Below are 27275 nucleotides of genomic sequence, written 5' to 3'. Positions count from 1 at the left end.
GGGTTCAAGCGATTCTCAGGCATCAGCCTCCCAAGTAGCTGGGATTACAGGTGTGCACCACCACACCCAGATTTTTTTTTGTATTTTTAGTAGAGATGGGGTTTTGCCATGTCGCCCAGTCTGGTCTCGCACCCCTGGGCCCAAGCAATCCACCCACCTTGGCCTCTCAAAGTGCTGGAATTACAGGCGTGAGCCACCGCACCAGGTCTCACTCCTTAGACTTTTGCAAGTTACAGGTCTCTATACACAGAGTTATTTACCTGGGTACATATTCCATTTATGTCCACTACTGGCTGTAGGCTATCCTGGAATAATAACTTGACTGACAGCAGCTTGATTTATTCTCACCTGCTACTCAAGACTCTACCTTGGTTTTGAAGTGTTTATTAGGTGAGACCTACTCACCTACGGCAGAGTAGTTTTACATCCATGTTACCACTGGTTTTCAATGGGTTATTTGCCCAGTGAGATTTCTTTAAATTATGTTAAATGTAATCAGCTTGTTTACTAAGTATTACTTCCTTTACATTAGTCAATCCTGTTATTGAACACCCCGATGCTTAAAGTTTTGCAATCTATTAAGATTAGGAGTAATGATACTTCTATCTGGCAATAATCCTGAGATATATGATGAAAATGCATAGCATACTTCAAAAAATTGTCCTCAGTTCTGAAATGGCTTTTAGAACTTCTCATGTAGAAAGCTAAAGTAAAATCTTTTGTAATTTATTGCAGTTCTCATTTGCCAATAAAGTTTGTACATACAGATACAACTATATTAATTTGCTCAGGTAATGTATTTTATGGGACCAGATGAAAAACATGCTTTCGTAGATGCTCATTTGCACACAGATTAGAAAAGAGTGCATAATTTTAAGTTAGCTTTGAGAATTAAATGTGATGTTGCATAAAATGTTTTTAGCATGCTATCAGGCATGCAGTCAATAAGTATTATTTGTGTGCTGTTTGATATATGTATAATTATTTCACCTAATGTTTAATAAATGCTTTACTTGTAATTGAAATCAAAAGATTTAAAATCACATAATATAAAGGAAGTATCACTCTGGGATTAAAATGATTTTATCTTCCTTCTTAGATGTGGCATACTAACTTGTTCACACCCTACATGGGATGCATCCTGACTGTATCAATCATTCTTTAGCACTTCAAAATAATCATTACTAATACTTATTTAGTGTTTTCTATATGCCAGGTATTTCATGGGCTTTGCATAGCACCTAATCTTCACAATAACATCATGCAATAAGTAGTATTATCATTTTATACATGAGGAGACTGAGGTACAGAAAGGTGGAATAACTACACCAGGAGAGTAAGTGGTAAAGTTGGGTTTTGTACTCAGGCAACTTGTTTGTTCACTATGTTGTGCTGTCTCTCCTAATAACATTGATAGTAGAGAGACCGTGTAAAATTTCCCCATAAGAGTTTCCTTATATTTGCATTATTATCATCCTATCAGGACCTGACACTTTATAGAGGACCCGACACTTTACAGAGGACCCTGCTTTGGCTTTTCTCTAGCCACGCCCCACCCCTCGGGAAAAGGATTTTGACAGCCAACGAGAATTATCCATGCCAAGTCTGCTCTAGAACATATGTAGAACACTTGGATCTCAGAATTCTGTGGCAAAATGATCCAAGGCCTGTCAACAGGGCCTGCATAGGTAGGCCTCTTTACTTGGTCCATCTCTGTGGCTGGACTGCTGTGTATACTTGTAGGTTGGAGTGGTAAAGAAGATGTGGAAGAGGTGAATGGAGCTTGGAAATGAGGACTAGACTGCTCATTTTTGTGCACAAAGCCCTTTTTGGTGTTGTAAATAAGATGGGCGGGCTGCAGATTAGAGACAGGGACCTGGAGCCAGCTTCTTCCAGATTTCACATTTTCGTACCAAAATAAAAGGAGTTAGAAAATTCCAAATTCACAACTGGCTTTTTGGGACTTATAAAGGGATAGTTACCAAAGTTGGAGAATAGAATTTTGTTAGCTTAGTTTATAATTTTTTAATACTTAGATATGATTTGCAGGCTACTATATATATTCTTGTCCCAGACCCCACAAATGTTAGAGGAAGGCCTGGTTTTCATGCATGTAATAATCTTTTATGTGCAATATCTCATAATAGAATTTGATTGTTACTTCATGTTCTTTACCTACTAGGTCTAAGAAAGCCTATTTTTTCCCCTCTGCAGTGCATATTGTTAAATTAACACTTTAAGAGAGACCATAGAACATAATGGGGATTTAGTTCATTTTGTTGACTGAATAACCAGTGGACTACATTTAGGCATATTAACATAATTCTCTCACACTGTCTCATTTAACATCGAACATCCACGGAGCTGAAATGGTCACATGAAATAGTATATTACAGAGGCCAGGCTACTACAGGTGGCATTCTGAATCAATGCTGGCAGAATTTCTAGATTCTGAGATATTTAGTTAATGCCGTCTAATATCCTAAATTATATCCTCTATGTCTTTAAACTGAGACTGTCTTAATTTTGTTATGTGTCAGAGTGGTATGAGTAGAAAAATTTGAATGTGAATAATACTTAATATTAGCAAATTATGATGATTCACTCAATATCTATAAAGGAAGTTTAGCATTTTTTAAGTTAATGGCACTACAGAAGTAAATGCTAACACATAAGCCACTTTTTCGAATAGGAAGCTCCCTGTAGTCTATTTTCATTAATGGCAAATAGCCATTCCTCAATTATAAGGCATTATATATTCTACTGTTATTCGGTTAAGTATATCCCACCAGATCTTTGATTGTGCAAGTTCTAATTATTCTTTTTTTTTATTATACTTTAAGTTTTAGGGTACATGTGCACATTGTGCAGGTTAGTTACATATGTATACATGTGCCATGCTGGTGCGCTGCACCCACTAACTCACATGGACACAGGAAGGGGAATATCACACTCTGGGGACTGTGGTGGGGTGGGGGGAGGGGGGAGGGATAGCATTGGGAGATATACCTAATGCTAGATGACGAGTTCTAATTATTCTAATATGATAAACTAATGAAATTTAGAAGTTAATTTTTATGGCACTTTTGTTTTAAACCTCTAATTCTTAACAAAATTCTAAAAAATGAGCTTTGCGAATGTTGTTTAAAAAACATATTTTCTTCCTGCAACTCCTTTCCTAATATTTACTCTTTATTTTCTTATAAGGATAGGAACGGCTTTAGCAGAATTAATCCAAGGTCCAGGGGATATCTCTATAAAAGAATGGAAGGTGAATGGTCAAGATAATTTGAGCCTGACAACAAAGAGAGCTATAGATCTTGAGAAATTTAAATTAAAATGTAAATGTATGAGAAGGATTGCAGTCCCTAGGAGTTAAAGTAGCATGCTACAGAGATCAATGAAAACGTGAATTCTTCAGTTACTGGAGCTGTACGTTAAACACCTGTCCCAGACTGCGTCTATGCTCATCCACATTCATTCATTCATTCAATAAGTATTTATCGAGTGCCCACTGAATTCCAGGCATTGTACTGCTTGCTAAATACATGAAATAAGAGTTGAATTCTTAGAGTTTAAAGAAGGGAGGTGGCCGGGCGCGGTGGCTCACGCCTGTAATCCCAACAATTTGAGAGGCCGAGACAGGCAGATCACAAGGTCAGAAGGTCGAGACCATCCTGGCTAACACAGTGAAACCCCGTCTCTACTGAAAATACAAAAAATTAGCCGGGTGTGGTGGCGGGCGCCTGTAGTCCCAGCTACTCGGGAGGCTGAGGCAGGAGAATGGTGTGAACCCAGGAGGCGGAGCTTGCAGTGAGCCGAGATTGCGCCACTGCACTCCAGCCTGGGGTGACAGAGAGAGACTCTGTCTCAAAAAAAAAAAAAAAAAAAAAAAAAAAGAAGAAGAAGAAGGGAGGTACATGTGCAGAACGTGCAGGTTTGTTGCATAGGTATACATGTGCCATGATGGTTTGCTGCACCCATCAACCCGTCATCTACGTTAGGTATTTCTGCACATGTACACCAGAATTTAAAGTATAATAAAGAAAAACTTTTAAAAATAAATAAAATGTTCTCCTAAAAAAATAAAGAAGGGAGGTATGCTGTGGAAGGGACATACTCAGTATGTGTTCAAATAATTATATATAATGATACATGCTATGCTATGTATGCAATGATTTTGCTGAAAGAGAAAATAATGAGAGACACAAATTTGATGGCAACATTTCTAGAGAAATGATATTCTCGACATGAAATATAAGTAGAAATTATTCAGGAGAAGAGAGAGGAAGTAATGTTTCAGGCCAATGGAGCAACAGGTGCAAAGTCATAGAGATTGGAAACACATTGGCATATATACTTTTGTATTGTTTCTATGAAATCATTTGCCAAATTAGGCTAGTGCCATGGCCAGATTAGGGCTTATCAGTCAACAAAAATATTTAAATAATTATCATTGACTCAGAGCCATTACAACTAAATTATGAGCTCTTATTCATATAATAGATATCCATTTGCACATCCTTCATAAACTATCACTGACACCTTTCTGTGTTGAACTAAAAGATTGGGGCATGCTCTTTATTGCTATTATGCTACTTATTATTGTAGTAAATTTAAGTGACATTCATAGATCTCAAAAACTATACTTAATGAGGGCAATCAATTTGAGATAAAAGAACATGATAGGATTCATACAGTCATGTATTCCTTCAATAAGCATGTGGTGTCTACTTGCAAGTAACTACTAGGTGATGAGGATAAAAAGATGAGTTAAATTGTTTTCAGTGAACACAGAGGAGGAAAGTAAGGCATGCATACAAATGAGTGAAGTGTGAGAGTGGTTACTTAAGTAGAGGCAAGAGGAGAAACAGGCTTACTTTTATTTTTAAGACTGTACCACTTTGCATATGTGTTAGGCTAAAAGAAAGAAGGTGATAGAAATGGAGAGACTGAAGATATTAAAGATATGGCAAAAATCAGAAGGATAGAGGCCTTGAGGAGAGAATAAATGATTGAACAAAAGCAGATGTGGAAAGAAAGTGTTTGCACAAATAAATGTTACAGGCAAATTTTAAAATAAAGAGAAAAGTTATTGGAGTTGGCTCCTGGTGGTAAATACCTACTCCATGAAACATAAGTTAATGTACTGAAAATTAAAGGCCAGGCCAGGCTCAGTTTTGTGTTCTCATTGAACAAATGAGAAATAAGGTTTGAGGAGATTAGTTCAAAATTAAAACAAACTTTACACTTCTTTCTCTTAATACATTTGGTTTAGTTCCTCCTAAGTTGATGATGATGCTGATGATTGGAATGGCATTAATTACACTTTGCAGTTTTCAAAAGTTTAATAATGAGCCCTAAAATTGTGACTAAAGAAATGTTAATGCTAAATACTTCAGATTTATGACAACTCTTTCTCTTCTTTCACCGTAAAAGGTAGCTGAAAGCATACACAAATATGCAACTCTATATATTCATCAACAAAACATTTAAAAATTGATATTGCAAGATTTTGTTCCTTGAATAAATCATTCAGAGTAAGGTTGAAACACTACTAATATTTAAAAATGGGTTGATGTCATCAGATGTCAGCTTGCCTTGCACATAGTAAACATCAAATAAACCTAAGTTGAATAGAATTGTTCTCATTTTTTCACTTTTACTTTTGCATAAACTCAACATTTCTTTGATTTCTCATCTTTTCTTTGAATTTATATCTCATGTTTTTCAAAGTGAAGCTATGTGAAAAGAAATGAAATTAACTGGTAACTGTAAAGTTTAGTATAATGTGCAACAAATATTCTCAAGTATCCATATTATGGTAATCAGGCTGATGCAATATTTATCTCATATCTTATAAAATGTATTTACTACATATACTAAATTTTATGGTGAAACAAGCTAAAAGAGCTTTCTCTGTGACTTACTTAAGCTACACATTCAGTTTTTGAGAGTTTTCATGGTATTTGTCTTTAAAACACACACACACAAATACAGTGACAAAATGCTTTTGGTTCTAATCATTCAATTATATTTTATATTTTTCCTATCTTTATCTCAAAGTTTGCATGTATTTGTATCATAGATTATCATGTTTTTCCACTTCCTGCATCATTTTTCCCTCTTCTTGGAGGTACCTTGGCAAAATAGTCCAACATGTCTGTATTCCCATGCCATTCATCTGCTGCTGAGCAAATATTTGCTAGGTAATTGTTTTTATCAGAGTGTCATAAATTTCATGAAACTGAACCGTCAGTAAATCTCTTCTCTGCATGAAACAATAATCTATTGCCTAAAATTACTGAACAAATTAAAAACAAATATAGAAAGTTTGAGTTTTTTCTTAATACTCTGAGCTCCTACACATTTTAAAGTGTAAAAACCTCTGACATTTTTTCTTAGAAGTTTATAAATACTAAGTAACATTCCTTTTAAATGTTAGATAGGGTACTCCTGATTCTTTCAGGCCATCTATTTCTCAACACAAGGGCCATACAAGCTAAGGCAACAAATGGTTTCTTTGTTTTTGGATCCAATGCTCAGGAGCAAGTACACACACACATTCATTCTTTCCCTTGTTAAGCAACTGTCCACCATTCTGTAAAATCACAGAGGTAAGAAGGTAATTTTAATTGTGTGACTCTGAAATGTACGTGACTCCAGCTAGCATTCTTTGTGTTTGACACTTGCACACTCTCTCTTTTCCTCTCATCTCAAGGGGAAGTCTTGGTCTTCCATTTCATTTTTACTTTTAGTGTTTTCTATTGAGGCAAAGTGAATACAATGAAGAGCAGCATGGCTTTTCTGAGTTTGTCTAGTGATAGAAAAAATAAGAATGTGGAACCTTTACGCAGTTCAACAGTATTTCCTATTAATGACACAGTACTCTTGTGGAGAAGGGATTGGTCTGAAGAATGGCATCTCAAGATAAAGATGATAGAAGCAGAAGAGGAATAAAAGAGGTAATAGTCTGCTCCCATTCTTAAATATAGCCAATGATCTGAAAAGCTGAGAAGTGCTTTGTGGTTTGTTGAAATCAATTCCTCTTTAAGATCTTCATTTTGGTCTACAACATATTTGTTTCTTTTTTATTGCTGATGTTTCTACATGAATTTATGAAATTGAATTAATGGACTCTATTCTTAATTCAGTTTTCAAAATTTTCAATCGTTTAATATTAATTTGAAAACAAGTCTTTTCAGTTTTCAATTATTTACTCCTCTTATGACTTTATTATCTGATACAGAAATATGACATTTTAGCTAGTTGTGAATTTGTTGAATTGAAAAAGCATTATATAATCAATACAACAATTAGGTTTAAGATTTATTTCAATTACAGATGGGAAATTTTACTTATCAGAGCTACTTGTGCTTTGGTTCAGTGGTGAAGTCCAAATATAATGTATAATACATCTTTCATTATAAAATGAATAATACATCTTACATTTTATAATGAAAGATGTATTATATATACTATATATGTACTATATAAGAGATTGTAAAATAATATATATCCTTCTTTTTGTGTTAAGTATTAACTTTGTAGAAGTTATGGACAATTATAAATGATGTAAAAAATGAAAAGTATTTGTTCATGTTTCAGCAGAGCTAAAAGAAGCGTTGGTCTACTGCCCTTGTTTTTGTAATAAGCAATGTTACATGCTTTGTAACAAGCAATGAAGGCGTTGTAAAATTCATTGAGTCAATGGATTTTAAATTTTACAGCTAGACAGGAGGAATCAGTTCTAGCATTGTTATACACCACTGATGACTACAGTTAACAGGAATGTATAGTTTATAATAGCTAGAAGGAGAATACTGATCTTTACCAACACAAAGAAATGATAAATATTTGAGATGATAGATATGCTAATTACGCTGATCTGATCACTCTACAGTATATGTAACATCAATGATGTTATCAAAACATCAATGTGTATCTTATAAATATTCACAACTATTATTTGTCAATTAAAAGTAAAAAAACTTTTATCATAATTTCTTTAAGAATATACAAGTTTTATATCTTGATTCCAATTAGGGAACTACAGCTTGGACAAATAATTAGTCTTATTGATGTTATTAGGTCAAGGACCAGAAATGAACCTATAACAACTTAACTGAGAGCTCACTCTGTGTTATACCTCACTAAAGGTAATTGTTCTTTATGAAGTATTTTTCAATGTTGGCCTCTTTAAAGCATTATATTATTTAGAGCAGAATGTATTAAATTAATTAAATTAAATTATGCTCTAAATTAATAAAAAATTAATTAAATAAATACCCCCGTGTTTATGTTAGGCAAAGCAGTTTATCAAAATTATCAAAACACTTTCTTATCCTTAAAGCAGCTTGCAATCTCCTGATAGGAAAAGTAATTTTTGTAAAGAGATGTCCTGGCCAGGCACAGTGGCTCACACCTGTAATCCCAGCACTTTTGGATCATGAGGTCAGGAGTTCAAGACCAGCCTGGCCAAGATGGTGAAACCCCGTCTCTACTAAAAATACAAAAATTAGCTGTGCGTGGTGGGGCGTGCTTGTAATCCCAGCTACTTGGGACGCTGAGGCAGAGAATTGCTTGAACCTGAGAGATGGAGGTTGCTGTGAACCGAGATCGCATCACTGCAATCCACCCTGGGTAAGAGAGCGAGACTCCATGTTAAAAAAAAAAAAAAAAAAAAAAGAAAAGAAAAAAGAAGGAAAAATATGTCCCAGAGCATTAATTTTGGCAGAAAATGATGTCAGCAAAAGTATAGAGATGGGACAACTAATGATAGGTTTTGGTAGTACTGTGACTCAATTTAAAATATATGCATTGTTGTAGCTGCAAAGGAGCCTAGAAAAGAGTTGCTGAAGGACAGTTATAGAACTCCTTAATGGAACACTGCCAAATCTGAAATGTATTCTTTAAGCAGTAGAAACGATTAAAGCTTTTAGAGCAAAGAAATGACATGACAAGCTTGAGTCTCTGAAAGATTATCCCATCAGAATTATTGACATGTTGGAGAATAGAGGGAGAGAAACCAGTCTGGTGAAAAAAATTCCCAGTGAGATTCCCTGAAGCAGTGTTGAGTGAGTGATATTCAGAAGGCTACTTTGAATATGAGAAAACAGGCTCATTTATCTGGATTATTTTATGTGATTGAAGAAGATAAAATTATCTTCTCTTCATTGGATCTCCACTGGATCTTTTGCTTACAGTGGAGGGAGAAAAGAAGACAATGGTATTTGTACAAACATCTCTATGTTTTCACAGATATGCATTTTATTTCTTATAAAATCTGGCAATGCCTCAAAGCATTTTAGATTGACCTCTTGCTGCTATGGGTTTGTTTCTGTTAATATGTAAAGGGACTAGGAAAAAGATCAACTCAGAACATCACTGGCGAATGGGTAGGAACCATAGGTCAAATAAAAAATGTGTTATAAACATAAAGGGATGTTCAAATATTAAACATAAATTAAAATAAAAACATACTTTCTTTTAGAACCATTCTGTTAGGCATAGAACAAGCAGTTTGGTAGCACAGTGTGTTGGCTACAGTGGGACGAGACAGACACTGTAATACACTAATAGTGGGAGTATTAGTATCATCGCTATGGAGGAAAACTTGGCAGTAAAAGCAAAATTTTAAGTGTACCTTCTCAATGACCTAGCAATACTACTTCAAGATCCACTCATATAAAATTCATAACTAAGAATTTTAATTTCATATTTATTTGTTTTCATATGAGAAATAAATTGATAGATAATTTTAGGTGAGGAACTATTCATATAAATCATGTATAACTTTATCAAAAGTACTCTATTAAAAATTAGATACATTTTTGTTATGTAGCTACCCAAAATTATATTAAGAAAAATTGAAACAACATTATCTATAAATAGAATGATACATGTATAAAATGATGACTACTTCTGAGGGAGTGAAACTCCATCTTGGGAAAAAAAAATCTGATGTGTAGGAGATATTGGACCATATATAATGTCTAAACCGGACAAGTTATAAGAATTATAAATGAGAACACTAGGTCATTTCTTCCTTCTAAATTAATATTTATCCAAGCAACTGTATGGCATTTCTGAATAGCTGGCATTTCGATACGCAACGTGAAAAAATAAGCCATGGGCAGAAACTCTACAAGCCAAAAGAGAGTGGGGGCCAATATTCAACATTCTCAAAGAAAAGAATTTTCAACCCAGAATTTCATATCCAGCCAAACTAAGCTTCATAAGTGAAGGAGAAATAAAATACTTTACAGACAAGCAAATGCTGAGAGATTTTGTCACCACCAGGCCTGCCCTAAAAGAGCTCCAGAAGGAAGTGCTAAACATGGAAAGGAACAACTGGTACCAGCCGCTGCAAAATCATGCCAAAATGTAAAGACCATCGAGACTAGGAAGAAACTGCATCAACTAACGAGCAAAATAACCAGCTAACATCATAATGACAGGATCAAATTCACACATAACAATATTAACTTTAAATGTAAATGGACTAAATTCTCCAATTAAAAGACACAGACTGGCAAATTGGATAAAGAGTCAAGACCCATCAGTGTGCTGTATTCAGTAAACCCATCTCACTTGCAGAGACACACATAGGCTCAAAATAAAAGGATGGAGGAAGATCTACCAAGCAAATGGAAAACAAAAAAAGGCAGGGGTTGCAATCCTAGTCTCTGATAAAACAGACTTTAAACCAACAAAGATCAAAAGAGACAAAGAAGGCCATTACATAATGGTAAAGGGATCAATTCAACAAGAAGAGCTAACCATCCTAAATATATATGCACCCAATACAGGAGCACCCAGATTCATAAAGCAAGTCCTGAGTGACCTACAAAGAGACTTAGACTCCCACGCATTAACAGTGGGAGACTTTAACACCCCACTGTCAGCATTAGACAGATCAACGAGACAGAAAGTCAACAAGGATACCCAGGAATTGAACTCAGCTCTGCACCAAGCGGACCTAATAGACATCTACAGAACTCTCCACCCCAAATCAACAGAATATACATTTTTTTCAGCACCACACCACACCTATTCCAAAATTGACCACATACTTGGAAGTAAAGCTCTCCTCGGCAAATGTAAAAGAACAGAAATTATAACAAACTATCTCTCAGACCACAGTGCAATCAAACTAGAACTCAGGATTAAGAATCTCACTCAAAACCGCTCAACTACATGGAAACTGAACAACCTGCTCCTGAATGACTACTGGGTACATAATGAAATGAAGGCAGAAATAAAGATGTTCTTTGAAACCAACGAGAACAAAGACACAACATACCAGAATCTCTGGGACACATTCAAAGCAGTGTGTACAGGGAAATTTATAGCACTAAATGCCCACAAGAGAAAGCAGGAAAGATCTAAAACTGACACCCTAACATCACAATTAAAAGAACTAGAAAAGCAAGAGCAAACACATTCAAAAGCTAGCAGAAGGCAAGAAATAACTAAAATCAGAGCAGAACTGAAGGAAATAGAGATGCAAAAAACCCTTCAAAAAATTAATGAATCCAGGAGCTGGTTTTTTGAAAGGATCAACAAAATTGATAAACTGCTAGCAAGACTAATAAAGAAAAAAAGAGAGAAGAATCAAATAGACGCAATAAAAAATGATAAAGGGGTTATCACCACCGATCCCACAGAAATACAAACTACCATCAGAGAATACTACAAACACCTCTACGCAAATAAACTAGAAAATCTAGAAGAAATGGATAAATTCCTCGACACATACACTCTCCCAAGACTAAACCAGGAAGAAGTTGAATCTCTGAATAGACCAATAACAGGGTCTGAAATTGTGGCAATAATCAATAGCTTACCAACCAAAAAGAGTCCAGGACCAGATGGATTCACAGCCGAATTCTACCAGAGGTACAAGGAGGAACTGGTACCATTCCTTCTGAAACTATTCCAATCAATAGAAAAAGAGGGAATCCTCCCTAACTCATTGTATGAGGCCAGCATCATCCTGATACCAAAGCCGGGCAGAAACGCAAACAAAAAAGAGAGTTTTAGACCAATATCCTTGATGAACATTGATGCAAAAATCCTCAATAAAATACTGGCAAACCGAATCCAGCAGCACATCAAAAAGCTTATCCACCATGATCAAGTGGGCTTCATCCTTGGGATGCAAGGCTGGTTGAATATATACAGATCAATAAATATAATCCAGCATATAAACAGAACCAAAGACAAAAACCACATGATTATCTCAATAGATGCAGAAAAGGCCTTTGACAAAATTCAACAACGCTTCATGCTAAAAACTCTCAATAAATTAGGTATTGATGGGACGTATTTCAAAATAATAAGAGCTATCTATGACAAACCCACAGCCAATATCATACTGAATGGGCAAAAACTGGAAGCATTCCCTTTGAAAACTGGCACAAGACAGGGATGCCCTCTCTCACCACTCCTATTCACCATAGTGTTGGAAGTTCTGGCCAGGGCAATTAGGCAGGTGAAGGAAATAAAGGGTATTCAATTAGGAAAAGAGGAAGTCAAATTGTCCCTGTTTGCAGATGACATGATTGTATATCTAGAAAACCCCATTGTCTCAGCCCAAAATCTCCTTAAGCTGATAAGCAACTTCAGCAAAGTCTCAGGATACAAAATCAATGTACAAAAATCACAAGCATTCTTATACACCAACAACAGACAAACAGAGAGCCAATTCATGAGTGAACTCCCATTCACAATTGCTTCAAAGAGAATAAAATACCTAGGAATCCAACTTACAACGGATGTGAAGGACCTCTTCAAGGAGAACTACAAACCACTGCTCAGTGAAATAAAAGAGGACACAAACAAATGGAAGAACATTCCATGCTCATGGGTAGGAAGAATCAATATCGTGAAAATGGCCATACTGCCCAAGGTAATTTACAGATTCAATGCCACTCCCATCAAGCTACCAATGACTTTCTTCACAGAATTGGAAAAAACTACTTTAAAGTTCATATGGAACCAAAAAAGAGCCCGCATTGCCAAGTCAATCCTAAGCCAAAAGAACAAAGCTGGAGGCATCACACTACCTGACTTCAAACTATACTACAAGGCTACAGTAACTAAAACAGCATGGTACTGGTACCAAAACAGAGATATAGATCAATGGAACAGAACAGAGCCCTCAGAAATAACGCCGCATATCTACAACTATCTGATCTTTGACAAACCTGACAAAAACAAGCAATGGGGAAAGGATTCCCTATTTAATAAATGGTGCTGGGAAAACTGGCTAGCCATATGCAGAAAGCTGAAACTGGATCCCTTCCTTACACCTTATACAAAAATCAATTCAAGATGGATTAAAGACTTAAACGTTAGACCTAAAACCATAAAAACCCTAGAAGAAAACCTAGGCAATACCATTCAGGACATAGGCATGGACAAGGACTTCATGTCTAAAACACCAAAAGCAATGGCAACAAAAGCCAAAATTGACATATGGGATCTAATTAAACTAAAGAGCTTCTGCACAGCAAAAGAAACTACCATCAGAGTGAACAGGCAACCTACAAAATGGGAGAAAATTTTCGCAACCTACTCATCTGACAAAGGGCTAATATCCAGAATCTACAGTGAACTCAAACAGATTTACAAGAAAAAAACAAACAACCCCATCAAAAAGTGGGTGAAGGACATGAACAGGCACTTCTCAAAAGAAGACATTTATGCAGCCAAAAAACACATGAAAAAATGCTCACCATCACTGGCCATCAGAGAAATGCAAATCAAAACCACAATGAGATACCATCTCACACCAGTTAGAATGGCAATCATTAAAAAGTCAGGAAACAACAGGTGCTGGAGAGGATGTGGAGAAATAGGAACACTTTTACACTGTTGGTGGGACTGTAAACTAGTTCAACCATTGTGGAAGTCAGTGTGGCGATTCCTCAGGGATCTAGAACTAGAAATACCATTTGACCCAGCCATCCCATTACTGGCTATATACCCAAAGGACTATAAATCATGCTGCTATAAAGACACATGCACACGTATGCTTATTGCGGCATTATTCACAATAGCAAAGAGTTGGAACCAACCCAAATGTCCAACAATGATAGACTGGATTAAGAAAATGTGGCACATATACACCATGGAATAATATGCAGCCATAAAAAAGGATGAGTTCATGTCCTTTTTAGGGACGTGGATGAAATTGGAAGTCATCATTCTCAGTAAACTATCGCAAGAACAAAAAACCAAACACCGCATATTCTCACTCATAGGTGGGAATTGAACAATGAGAACACATGGACACAGGAAAGGGAACATCACACTCTGGGGACTGTTGTGGGGTGGGGGGAGGGGGGAGGGATAGCATTGGGAGATATACCTAATGCTAGATGACGAGTTAATGGGTGCAGCGCACCAGCATGGCACATGTATACATATGTAACTAACCTGCACATTGTGCACATGTACCCTAAAACTTAAAGTATAATAATAAAAAAAAAAAGAAAGAAAAACTAAGCCATGAATTTAGATCTTAAGAACTATTATCTTATAAGAAAAATACATGGAGCAAAGATTAAAAGACACCTTTGTTTCAGGTGAAATATCAATTCCAGGTTTGTTTGGTTTTTTTTTCAAATAGCTCATGGTATGAATATTTATTTAATGACTTCCTCAGTGAACAGTACAAAATTGCTTTCTATCAGCTCCCTCTCCTGTCTGCTTGGTGGCTTTCTTCACCTTTTTTTCCTCTCTATCCAATAGTTCCAGACCCAATAAATTTTTCTCATACCTTTTTGAAAGAAAATATTCTTATCTGAGATTTCTTTCTTCCATTTCTTTCTACTATATTATATCTTCTGCAACAGTAGAATAATCAGTAAATGTTTCAGGAAGAGGTTTACTTATTGCACGGGTATAAAGGACATACATACTTAAAATATTATATGATTTACCACACATATAATAAAATGTGTTTTTATTTTATAATAACTCATTGACATAGTAGCCAATCCAAAAAAGCTACCATAGTAATATATCTAGATGTCATTTTTGGAAAAAAAATTGTAAAATGTTTGCAAGCTTAAATCATTGTATTTTTGCTGTAAAATACAATTACAATTCACAATTTAAAAGATTTCAGTTTCAGTTTGTTTTAAAGAGTTAGCATTAGGCCAGGCGTGGTGGCTCACGCCTGTAATCCCAGCACTTTGGGAGGCCGAGACGGGCGGATCACGAGGTCAGGAGATCAAGACCATCCTGGCTAACACGGTGAAACCCAGTCTCTACTAAAAATACAAAAATAAAAATAAAAATAAAAATTAGCCAGGCGTGGTGGCGAGCGCCTCCAGTCGCAGCTACTCGGGAGGCTGAGGCAGCAGAATGGCGTGAACCCGGGAGGCGGAGGTTGCAGTGAACCGAGATCGCGCCACTGCACTCCAGCCTGGGCGACAGAGCGAGATTCCATCTCAAAAAAAAAAAAAAAAAAGAGAGTTAGCATTAGACGCCACATTTATAGCACAAGTCTGTTTCATAAGATCACTTTTTTGAAGTAGCAAAACAGACAATAAAAGTGAAAAAATAATATAATTGGGGAACATTATTAATTTCAAATGAATGTATTCTGTACTATTTTGTTATCACACAGGATTCAAAAGACATTATGTGAAATATCTTCCTCTACTTACAAAATAGAATCTATGCTCTAAATAATTTTGTAAAGGGAAATGAAGGACATCCCTTTTCTAGCCCAACAAAACAAAATTAAAGTAAAATGTCCAGAAGAGGTAATCACTGTCAAAATGAGCAAATAAAATAAGGTCATTAAAATAAAACATGTCACCATCAGCAAACATACATGAATACACAGCATCCAGCCAAGAAAATAGTGATTTTCTGCATATTTAGAATACTAGAGTCATTGTATCCACATATATTTATACAAAATTTAAATAATTTTATACCTTAAAAAGTCTAAGGATAAAAAGAAATTTTGTAAGCATCTATAGCTAAAGATATGAAGGAAGTAATTTTGATTCCTAAATCTACAGTCTCATTTCCTTCTCGCAAAAAAAAACTATGAGTTAGTAGTCAATATCATCTTTTACAGGGAAAGAAATGAAAACATAGAAAGGTTATGGTGTTGCTCAGGGAAACACCTGGGTTAAACCTGAGTCTAAGAAGCCCATGCTCTTTTTGTGACCTCACCATATGCCATGAATGTGGTTTCTTCTCTCTTCTCTCTCTTCTGTGGAGTTCATTCTAGATGCAGTTGTCAATCCCTAGATTTTCATTTCATTCCATTCTTCTCTTTGTCAAAACCTCCTAACTCACACAGTCATAGAGTAACAGTGGATCAAAACCTGAAGAATATGCTTTAAATTCATTGATTATAATTCTTTTGATTGAGAAATTAATAAACTAGGGAGAGAAGCAAGGTGACCTGTACAAGTCACAGTAAAGGGAAAAACTGAGAAGAAACTCAAATATCATCTAATCTTGAGATAAATATTATTCTCTTGCTTTGGAACAAAATCCCAATTTTTTCAGTTTATCTTAGAATCCTCCAAATTTCCTCATTTTATAATTTTTAACCTCTCTCTTTGCATTAAAAGCATTCTTTCTGTACATTAATTAGCTTTCCTACTGTTTTCCTACACATTTGTTTTGTTTCTGCCTCTCTTCCCACCAACTGAAAAGAGTTTGTCTAAGAAGTCAGTTTAATCCATCACCACAATGACCATTTCTGTTCCTCCAGTGTTTCTACAGTCTTTTACAGGTATTTTTTCCTTAAGTTTCTTATTAAGCTGTGTCCTGACTGAACGATTTTCCATCTTTTCAATGTCAGTGGTCAAACTTCTCACTTCCTTTGAATCCCCAAAAGCATATGGTATCAAACATACCAGATTTATTAGAAGTATACATTCAAGAAAATTCTTTGAATAAAAGATGAGATACACAGAATAATCTTTAAATGCTGATGTTCTAAAGATCTCAATATCCCCTTCCACAATTAGAACAGGATTGTGTCTCATTAAAAAAAAAATAGAATATTTGGGTAGACAGATAAGCTTAGAATGAAAATTGAAGTAAAATAAAAATTTCTTCCTAGACTCAAACCTTTAATGATTTTAATACTATAATTTTTTTACCATTGAAAAGTAGATATTTTTTCTTGTATATAATATTATGACAGGTATTTTGTACGTAAAGAAAGATTTTACTTGTCCAAAATTATACAGCTAATAAGTTTTAAAGTCAAAACTGAACCTAAAATTCAAATACCACATCCTTTAATCCATATGACTCCCTATGTTAGCTATATTATTATAATTATTAAAATAATGTTTACTATGACTTCTGCCACTATTACTACTATTACTATTTGGAAACGGCCATATAAGCAAAGCTTCATTGGCTTCATAGTTAATCCACTCCTGCAAAATAAGTTTTATCAGCAGCATTAATATATCATACTACATAAATGAAAGAAATCAGTCTTATTTATAACATATAGAAATGGCATTTTTTTCCACAGCATCTCAGCCACATTCATTTTTACCTTGAGTTTGGCTATACCATGAGAGATTAGATGGCTCTGAGATATTAAAGTTAGCAACATAATGAGATGTCAAAAAACATCACATTCATTTAAAGTGGTTAGGTGAATCTTGGAACCAAAGTCACTTTAAAATAACTTAGGCACTGAAAAGTAAATGCAGCAGTTAGAGAACTAATGTTAGCATGAAATTGTCCAAGCTGGAAAGACTCATTAGGAGAAAAGTAACAGAAGTCTCCAGAAGGAGAAATATTGAAAATCTGTATCTTAGTCACATATACCTCTATGACTGCACATTTCACATTGAATTATATTCACCCTATGGGTGTATTTCCTCCACCAGGTTTGAACTATTTATTCTCTTTTATATTCTTCCTTTGTACTGCCACTGTCCACAGTAGACCATTTATGTGAGTAAATTAATGTTGAAATTGCATTAAATTACTCACTGTGGCACTTACTAACAAGACCACGTTAAAGAATGAGAAACAAACAAACACAGTCATATATTTTTAAAACAGTTAATATGTATAATTTTCATAAAATCAATTCTGGATCACTTAACTTCAATCTCAGATAACTACTCCTTCTTACTAAGATTACTGTTATTTGAAAATGTTAAAGAATTGAATGTAAGTTTTAGGAAAATAAATAACTAAGGAAAGTAAAAATTCAAAGAACTAAAATGACTATTCATTGGGCTTCAAGGACATGTTTTATATTTTCTTTATTTTATTTGCAAACTGGGGTTATATACTTAGGATATAAAAGACTTCAGATAAAATATTAACCTTTTTAGTCACCGTCTTTTACCTCATCTCTGCTACACTTATCGCGCCATCTTTAAATATTCAGTGTTTAAAGAAAAAGTCTTAAAACTTGAATTCATTCCCCCAAACACATAAATTGCTTGTCATAATTTGTCAATTAAAGCATCAGGAGAAGGCATCTGTACAAGCAATGTAATACCAGAAATTCAGCAATATTTAAACTGCCTTCCACTCAATTGCACTATGGTAATTTTATGTTTTATCATATTCAGTTCTACTGAGGAATTTTTAGTGTATATATTCATTCTAAAACAATTTATATGACATTATTAAAATTAAGCATAAGTAAACTTTGGTTCAGATACAATGACGATTAAATACTATTACGGTTTCAAATTTGTTGTCTATTAACCTCCTTTAATATTGTAACAGAAAAACTAGAATTTATATACAAGTTGACATTTGAATTTTAAAACACAGAAAAGTAGTGCATATTTCAAGAGATATATTCTCTGCTTTATTATCAAATGCTCTAAAATCGCTACTACCTTTAAAAAGCCCATGAATTAAAGTTTACCCAAAATTTGTCAAACACAGAAATATACTCTCATCTACATTTCTTGCTGAGTTTCTGTTTGATTTAGGGCTTCCATTAAACATTTATTACTAGGAAAAAAAGAAAACCTGCCAGTCTGGGAAAAATTAAGAAGTATTATAGGGCAAATGGATGTTCCCTTACATATATGCCATGGAATAAAATCACTTAAATCCTTTTTTCTACTTCATTATAATACTCTAAAAGATTCCCAAGTTTCATAATTAAAACTGTCAAAAAAAAAACCCCTTCTGTCATTTGATGTAGCTGGTGAGTGCATACCAAGTTCATTGTGAAAAAGTTCACATCTAGCAATTAAGTTCTGTAGTTGTTGGTTAAGAGAATGCGGGTATAGCAGTTTCCACTGAGTTAATATAATTGGATCTTAAATTTCTAATCTTAAAAGACAATGTTTTATGTATAATCAGTGGCAACAAGGAAATTACATATATTTATATTCTAATATAAGGATTTGATTTGAATAGATACAAAAATAATCAAGATGTCCACAGTCTAAAATGAAGTATAAGCCATAAAAAGCTCTGATCTTCAAATTTAAGAGATGTGGGTTCTAATTCCATCTTTTGCATTACTTGCAATGTTGAACACATCACTTCACCTTTTTATACCCTTGCTTATTAGTGAAGAAACTTTGTTTATTATGAGTAGGTAAAAATATGAGCTCGCATGGCCCCTTCCAATATTAAATGGTATTTATTCTGTCACTTTTTCCTAAGGGTTCCACAATTAATCATCAATAAATCATGAGATTTGTGCTGAATTTGAATGATACGGTTATTTTAGCATGAACTCTCATTCACCAGCTCACACATTAGAATAACAGCATCACAGAAGGAGGAAGAGAGTATTAAATAGAATTATGAAGCTTAGAGTTTCAATTCTCTTATCAATGCCATAACTTTTGAAATTCTTATCATTGAAAATACAAAATTAGAAAAGAAATAGTGGTCACTAACAAGTTGTTTTAATAATTTTTGCTATATGGGAGATAATATTAAGCCAGTCTATATCTTTTAGAAAAGAATATGAAGAAGAAGGTTTTAAAATAACAAAATAAGGCAAAATACAATACCTAACAGATTAAACATGAGACTTTTCACAGTGTTTTCAGATATATTTGGGGTCAATCTGTTCCAGTGCCCAGGAATTCCTATCATATTTAATGATCATGAAACTGCCAATTAAATAAAAATGTATTTTTAGAAAACAATAAAATTCTTTTAAAAATTCCTGTTGTCACTCACCTGTAACTTCCAATAATATTACTTTTAATCATCAGGGATTTTGTCTAGTTTAGTACACTTAAAGGCTCAAGAACAATAGTATCTCAACAAATATTGCATAATTGAAAGTAAGTTCTTGCATGTAACTGAAATGGGAGAACCTAGGTGAATTAGAATAGTTGTTCTAAATTCTTGAGTATTGCCTTTATATTTCGTTTAATTTCAGAAAAAAATCCTTAATACTTCTAAGTATAACATTAATTATTTAAGAAAATAAAGATAAAACTTTATATACTTAAAAGTAAATTTCTCACAAAATCAACATCCCATTTCTCTACTATTTATATGATAAATACAAACTCCTGCAACTAATGAAATATTTGTAAAAATACATTAATAGACCTGGTTGCAGCTCCAGATACTTTATTACTATCATTATAATATCTCTCGATGAGAGCATCTCAGTATTTTTAGCCTCATGATGAATGCTTCTGCCAATATTATAACTCACAAAAGGAAGAGAATTTCAATCAACTTTTTATCACCTATATAATCAGCAACATTTCTCTTCCTAAACATATGCTACGTTTACTACTGGATAGTAATGGAAGATGAGATGTTCTCCTTTCTGGGTTGTTAGCAGCTATAAGAATCCTATGAAGAACATCTCTACGCCCTTCATAAAATGTTTAAATATATAATTATACTTTTCCAGTCAATGGTTATGAAAGAGAATTTTTGATCATTCAGATAAATGAAATATTCCTTGCCTAAAATGCAATTGCTTATTTGGATTCTGTTCAGTTTAGTCACTTTCCCTTTAATTGGCTCCATATTTTCTAGTAAAGATACTAACTGTAACAATATTTTTCATAGAAAACTCATAAAATGTATTGGCTTCTTGCTTTTTATCTAGATCTCCGCTCTATGCAAATTGAGTGTGAGAAATATTTGGAAACATGACTGGCATAAGAGGAAATAGGTGAGTCCTGTCGGATCTGTTATGAGAAGGTCATTTGTGAAAATAAATAAATAAATAAAAAGTGGCCATTGGGCAACAAGTTATTTAGATCATTATGAGTTTTTAAGAACCACTTAGAAAAAGAGAAAAAACAACTTTACACCCGTGTTTTAAAATGTATCTAATGAAACATTTTCTGAAACGTTTAAAAATGGCAGTGATCACAAGAAATTCTAGCTTAAGAAATACACAGGAAATGAATATGACTGTAATTTCTTAAGATTCTCATGAATGATAGATCTCACACTATTTTATATTAGATTAAAAATGAGATTCTTTTTTTTATTTCCATAAAACAGACAATCTTGATTTATTTTTCACAATTACTTTGTGGCCTCTCTGGAAAGTTCCCAGTTCCCTGCACTGGAGAAAAGAGAAACTACCATACTTTGAATAGCTTTGTAACACGTATGAGCTTATGTTTGAGGAGGGTATAATGTCAAAAATATAACATGCACTACTCTGGGATATAAAACTAAAGACGTGTGTTTTAATTTATGGGGATTAATAGACATAAAATTATCTACAATTAGCTTATGCAAATATTTATAATAGGCAAAACATAACTGAAGTTATACAGTGTTGTGTCAATTTCTTGGGATTCAATTCAATACTTCAAAATAATTTTGATGAAAGAAATCCATTGTAAAACCAGTTTTCTTAAAAAGCAAATTCATGTTTCCCTTTAAAAATTGCTTTTATAGCCACTGTATTAAAACACTATATTTTGTGTCATTCAATTTAAATAAAATAATTAACTAAAACACTGTTTAAGTGTCTGGAAAAAACATAAACTAATAATATTCAGTTTATTAGAACACTTCTAACAATACACATTTGAATCTCCAAAAATCATAAAACAGGATTTCTTACTTGAGTGGGTAGGGAGATGGAATATAGTTCATAATAGTTTTTAATCTTAAATCTTAAGCATTAGGAGTTTTATATACTTCATTACTTTTTAAAATGTACCAGCCTCTAATGTGGAGTTATTGATCACAAATGCTCAGAAAATAGACCTCTGCAGTGATTCTACCGCTTTGAGCTTCCGACCAGTCTCTTTCCTGCTATAAAGTGTTAAGAAGTTCATGTAACATGTTAGCACAGCCTTACAACACGGTTCTTAACATCTTGTGAGAAACATATTACTCTCTTACTTTATGCTTGGATTGTCAGAAAGAAGAAAGAGAGATAAAATCAACTCCTGGAGTCAGAATTTCAAGAAAACAAACTACATGAATGTATGAGTTTATTATTTAAAGTAAGAGAAATAAATTTCCAACGACTTGGTAAAAATTTAAAAACCCGTATTTTAAAAGAAAGTTCAAAGACAATAGGTAATCAAGATACATGAGAAAGAATGGATTCGGCAAATTACAATATTGTAAATATCTGAGCCTCATAAAATTCTGGATTAGTTTTTGACTGATGAAGGAGACACTAAACTCTGCTACAACTTTGTTTTAGCCAATCAAACTCTCTACAGTCAAATCATCTTCACAGTATTACAGCCATCTAGAGAAGTTTTCATCATTTTTATTTTAATCTTCACAAATTATGCCTTTATTTTGTCTAGAAGTAAGACAAACTCCAAAATGCTTTGGCCAGCCTATGCGGGCCCTTTGCCCTTTACTGGCACCCTCTGGTCCATATTGCTAAGTCAGCTGTGACAGACAATCACACTCCTACCTCTACCCTGAAAGTGGTCAAGATTTTCTAAACTGTGAAGTAAAAGAGACATTTAAAGAAATACATATCAGCCAAACCTGGTACATTTCTAACAGATAGCGCTACTTAATTGGACACATAAGATTGAAGTAAATTTTTACATGCTACTAATTTTAATGATTCATCTTACATAAACATATTCTATGTATAGATTCATGATTTGATTTCAGGTTGGCTCCCTGACTAAGAATTGTTTCAGACCACCTAATACTTGAAGTACTAACTGCTCACCTTGAGAAACATTCAGGTATTTCAGCTATTCATTTAAAAATTCCACAACTGTAGCTTTTTGGATGTATTTCCAAAAGCACCTTGGTGTGCATGTGCCTCACAACTTATAGACAAAGTCCGGCATTTAGTTAATCTATGGGATTATATTTTTATATAACTTTTAAGAATCTAACTTTCTGTTCAGTTGTCTATGGAATCAGAAAGAAATTAAAATTAGCAGTTTTTCTCCTCCTTTCTCAATTTTCAGAAGTTTTAAATAATTTAAAGGATACACCAATTCCTAAGCAAAAACACTGGCACTTGTAATAATCATTTCACTGACTTTCTATTTTCAGATAGGCTTTAATATCATTCCCTCACACTCCAGCTATTTGTCAAATTCTATTCTTTATATTGAATTTCCCTTTTTATAACTTTAACTCTGATTTTTTTTGCCTTTTTCCCTTTAATGGACTTAGATGATCTTTTTATGTAATATCTTTAATTTGTTATCATTAGTTTTATATGACATATTCTTACTCATACCTCTTTTCGATTAGAGTCAGAGTAAACTTATGCCTGTTAAGTTTAAGACTCAGCATACTAGTCCCCACTTAACTTAGAATAATTTGAGCATGAAATAGGAGAATATGCAAGCAACCATGAGAATTGCTCAAAATTGACTACAGGCATTTTCAAAAACAGTTAATGACCTAATCATTATTTTTTAAAATACTGAGAGTCACAATATTAATCATAATGAACTCCTTTAAGCTCCCTGTAATGGTCATAAGTACTTCTGTAATTCTGTTGCAATTCAACAGTAATCGATGATATCTGCATTAATTTTTAAATTTGACTATTTGTCTATAATTTTAAATGCTAGTATTCTAATGAACATCTACTTCTTTCATCCTTATTTCCACAGTCGTAATTGAGAATCAAAGTAGAAGTATTGACCCTCTAAATGATTTTCTCTTTTAAATTAAGAAACAAATGAATGAAATGTAGGTAAGGCATTGAACATACAACAGTTTAAAAGTTTTTTGCTTCTCACCTGCATTTAAATTACCACATGAAATTGTATTTTTCTTGGGAGAACAGTTCTAAGATTTAAAAGTAATATAATTCTAAAATATTTAGTGGATTCTGGTTCTTTCGCAAATAAATATAGTTGAAACAACTTATTGTTCAGGTCATCAGAGTAATTCTCAGGTTTGTGTATGTGCAAATTGATATTCTCTTCCGTATATCTCCCTACAAAACATGGTAAGGATGTCTGAACATAATTTTTTAATCTATCACAATCCTATACAACCTTTAGAAAAAAGCTCAGCATAATCCAAGATACAGTTTTTCTCAGTCTCACGAACTTTGTAGAACTCCACTTATAGAGCATCCCTACTGAATTTTAACAAGTTATTGCAATGCCAGATGCCCAATTATTTAGTCTCGGAAACTCATTGCTCAAACATAAGGCATACATTCAGTACCTGAGAACGGCATCCTATTTTCCAAACATTTAGTTTCTTTTGTAGAAACATCCTCACTTTATCCTGGCATTTATTGCCTTACAATTTGCAATTTGCGTGTAGGAATTGCTTACTCTTATTTTGGGTGGCATTAGGAGATATACAAATAGGTTATATTTACTCTTGTTTCAACTTTTTGCCATAAAATCCCAGCAGGAAATAAAGTCGTGTTTTGTTTCCTTTATTTAAAAAAGCTTCATCTTACAGTTTTTACATTCTGGCAACATGGCAAGAAAGGATGGCTTTGCAGAACAGAGTGTGTCAAAAATCCTAAGTGGCTGGGAGATGAAGTGCACAATCACAGAACGCAGTCACTGGCAAAGGAATGTCAGCCACTTACCAATAAGATGCCAGACTCCACTGTCCTTCCTCTGTGACTCTCAATTCCTGTCTCCCATCCTCCTGCCCATCAGCACAGTTCAGAGAGAGCGGTTCCTCGGGTCCTTTGCAGCCTGTGGCAGAGGCGAATTGCGGAGTTCTTAATCATTCAGAGGGAATCCTCCAGCTTGCCCTGCCTCTCGCAGCAGACGGGACCCAGGTAACGCATCCTCTCCGCCCCGAGCTTTAATGGCACTTTGGCTGCCGCCTTCTCGCAGTTCCGCTCCCCCACGCCGTAGTTGGTTATATTGGGAAGTAGGTGCGGCGCCTCCTGCGGCTGGTGTGTTTGGGGCTCGCGTGTTTTCCTCCAATGCGTCCGCGCGCCCTGCGCCCCGCGCCTCTGACTGGCTGTGTCCTCCCGGGGCGGCCCCTCGCCCCTCCCCGGCCGCCCGCGCTGTCACCGGCGCCCGCGTCCAGCGCCTCACTGCCTCTTGCTGCAAAGGTTCATTGAGCATGTCCCTGGGCTTAACGAACTGTGCGCCTCCCGGAGGGTGCTCTGTGTTTCTCCACTCGTCTCACTAGTCAACCGGCATTTTCCTTCCCTGCTAAGTACAGAGGACCTGCCCCCCTTCCCCGAGCGTTTCTGCTCTGCAACCCCTCCGTATTTAACATTCATAGATTACAAAGCAAACGTGCTGGCTGGAGTCGGCACGGGAGATCCAGGCGAGAGTCCCTTCCTCCGCTCCTGTCTTCACTCTGATTCCTGTAGTCCCCGGCTCACACCTCTGACAGCAGCAGCACAGACTGACGCGTTCACTTAGGTCGGTTTGAGAGTGGACTTTTTCACTTTGCAGAATTTTCTTAAGTCCTGAATGGGAAGCACTTCTCTTTTGTTTCTGCACTTACGCGTTTCATCTAAGGACTATCAGGCTCTGCCTGTTTATATTTCTCTTTGATTTGGGGTGTTGACTCAGTTCTAAAAAAAAGCGAAGGAATGGTCTCAGCAACCTTTTTTTCGGAATTTTTATATTACAATGGCTGTAATTGGAAAAATAACACAGGTAGTAAATCCACAGTGTGGCAGCTTTAGTGCCATTGTTCTGCCAGTCCTCCTCTCTACTTTTTTTTTTTTTTTCCTCTCAGTCTTTGAGTCGTTTTCCAATTCCCACGATTGGGCTGATGGTAATTGGGTATTTGTTAAATAAATTATATAACATTTCCTTTGCAATATATTTCCATAGAGAATGTGGTTTGCACCTGTATTTAATGGAAAGGAAATCCCACGTACTGCTTTCTATCTCTGTGTCTGTATAAGAAACTGCATGGGAGTCTAGGGTCGCACCCCGTGTCCGCTGGTGTCCGTTTTTCATGTGTGTTTGAGAGCAGCCTGACCCTGGACTGACGCTGATTCTTCTGCTCACTGAATCCCCCGATGGGGTCTGACTGGCTCTAATTGGCAAGGAGAGTACAGTGCCAGGCAGCCTGTAGCTGGAAGCCGTCTACCACTAGCCCTGTGTTCTTTCTCTTGCAGTTTTTCTGGTAATTAAAATTAGTCTTTTCCTGTTTCTTGGCTGCTTCTCATTCATCCAATGATGTACAAACACCCAGTCTCTGCTTTTAATCGCTATCCTCAGGATCTAGGCTGATTGCTTGTTCTGTAGCAAAGACAAATTTGTGTGCATTTAATACTTCTCCACTCTTCCATACTTTTTATATTCGTGTTCCTGCTTTCCAGTAACTAGGTTATCTTCTTTATGTGTTAACTGAGGGATCGTTGTGGAGATTCCCCTTCTGTGGCTTTTTCTCTGCCCCACTGGCTCTTCTCCTCTGTCAGGCTGTCGGTTCACAGAGAGAACTACCAGGACTTTTATAACCACATTAAATACATCACAAAATAAATTCAAAGTGTAGGAGCTCTAACGCATTCTTTTTATTGTTCGATGAGGTTTTTGCCTTTAAAAGTGTATAATTGAGCACATGCAGCCTGAAAGAGGGATCGGGAGTGTAGAAAGCTTTCTGAAAGTTCTCTTCCCTTCTTAGAACACCATTCTATATTACCCATGATCCGATAATTTGGGCATTTTGAGTCATTATGTCACATAATTTCTTTCAACTAGCTTTGCCCTAGAAAGGATGTAAGTTGGCTTATAAAAATCTATTCAGTTTAAAAAAATGAATAAAAAATGTAGGTCAGTGAGATCAAGACAAACGGTAAAGTGATAGGAGGAGAGATAAGATGAAGCCAGAAATGAGGTTTATAGAGAAAACTGCATTGATGTTTTTGTTACAAATGGTGCTAGGTC

At 35.0% G+C, this 27275-nt stretch overlaps 1 protein-coding gene across 11 annotated transcripts in view, besides 1 other annotated feature; it reads right to left on the bottom strand.

Moving 5' to 3' along the window:
* CNTN5 (contactin 5) overlaps positions 1-25316 on the bottom strand; it is a 1337937-nt gene extending 1312621 nt beyond the window's left edge. For all 11 annotated transcript variants that reach the window (XM_017017926.2, NM_014361.4, XM_011542871.2 and 8 more), the window contains exon 1: positions 24995-25316. The gene's annotated coding sequence lies outside the window, so the exon portion shown is untranslated. The remainder of the gene's footprint in view (positions 1-24994) is intronic.
* Positions 22739-22939: a silencer, noted in NCBI's record as "peak1437 fragment used in MPRA reporter construct". NCBI's record gives its function as "represses an SCP1 promoter by STARR-seq MPRAs in K562 erythroleukemia cells {active_cell/tissue: K562}" and the evidence as "EXISTENCE:reporter gene assay evidence [ECO:0000049][PMID:32103011]".

Source organism: Homo sapiens, chromosome 11, assembly GCF_000001405.40.
Source record: "Homo sapiens chromosome 11, GRCh38.p14 Primary Assembly".
In the NCBI taxonomy this organism is placed as follows: Eukaryota; Metazoa; Chordata; class Mammalia; order Primates; family Hominidae; genus Homo; species Homo sapiens.
Note: the sequence above shows the minus strand (reverse complement) of the source record. Positions and strands in the feature narration are given on the sequence as shown.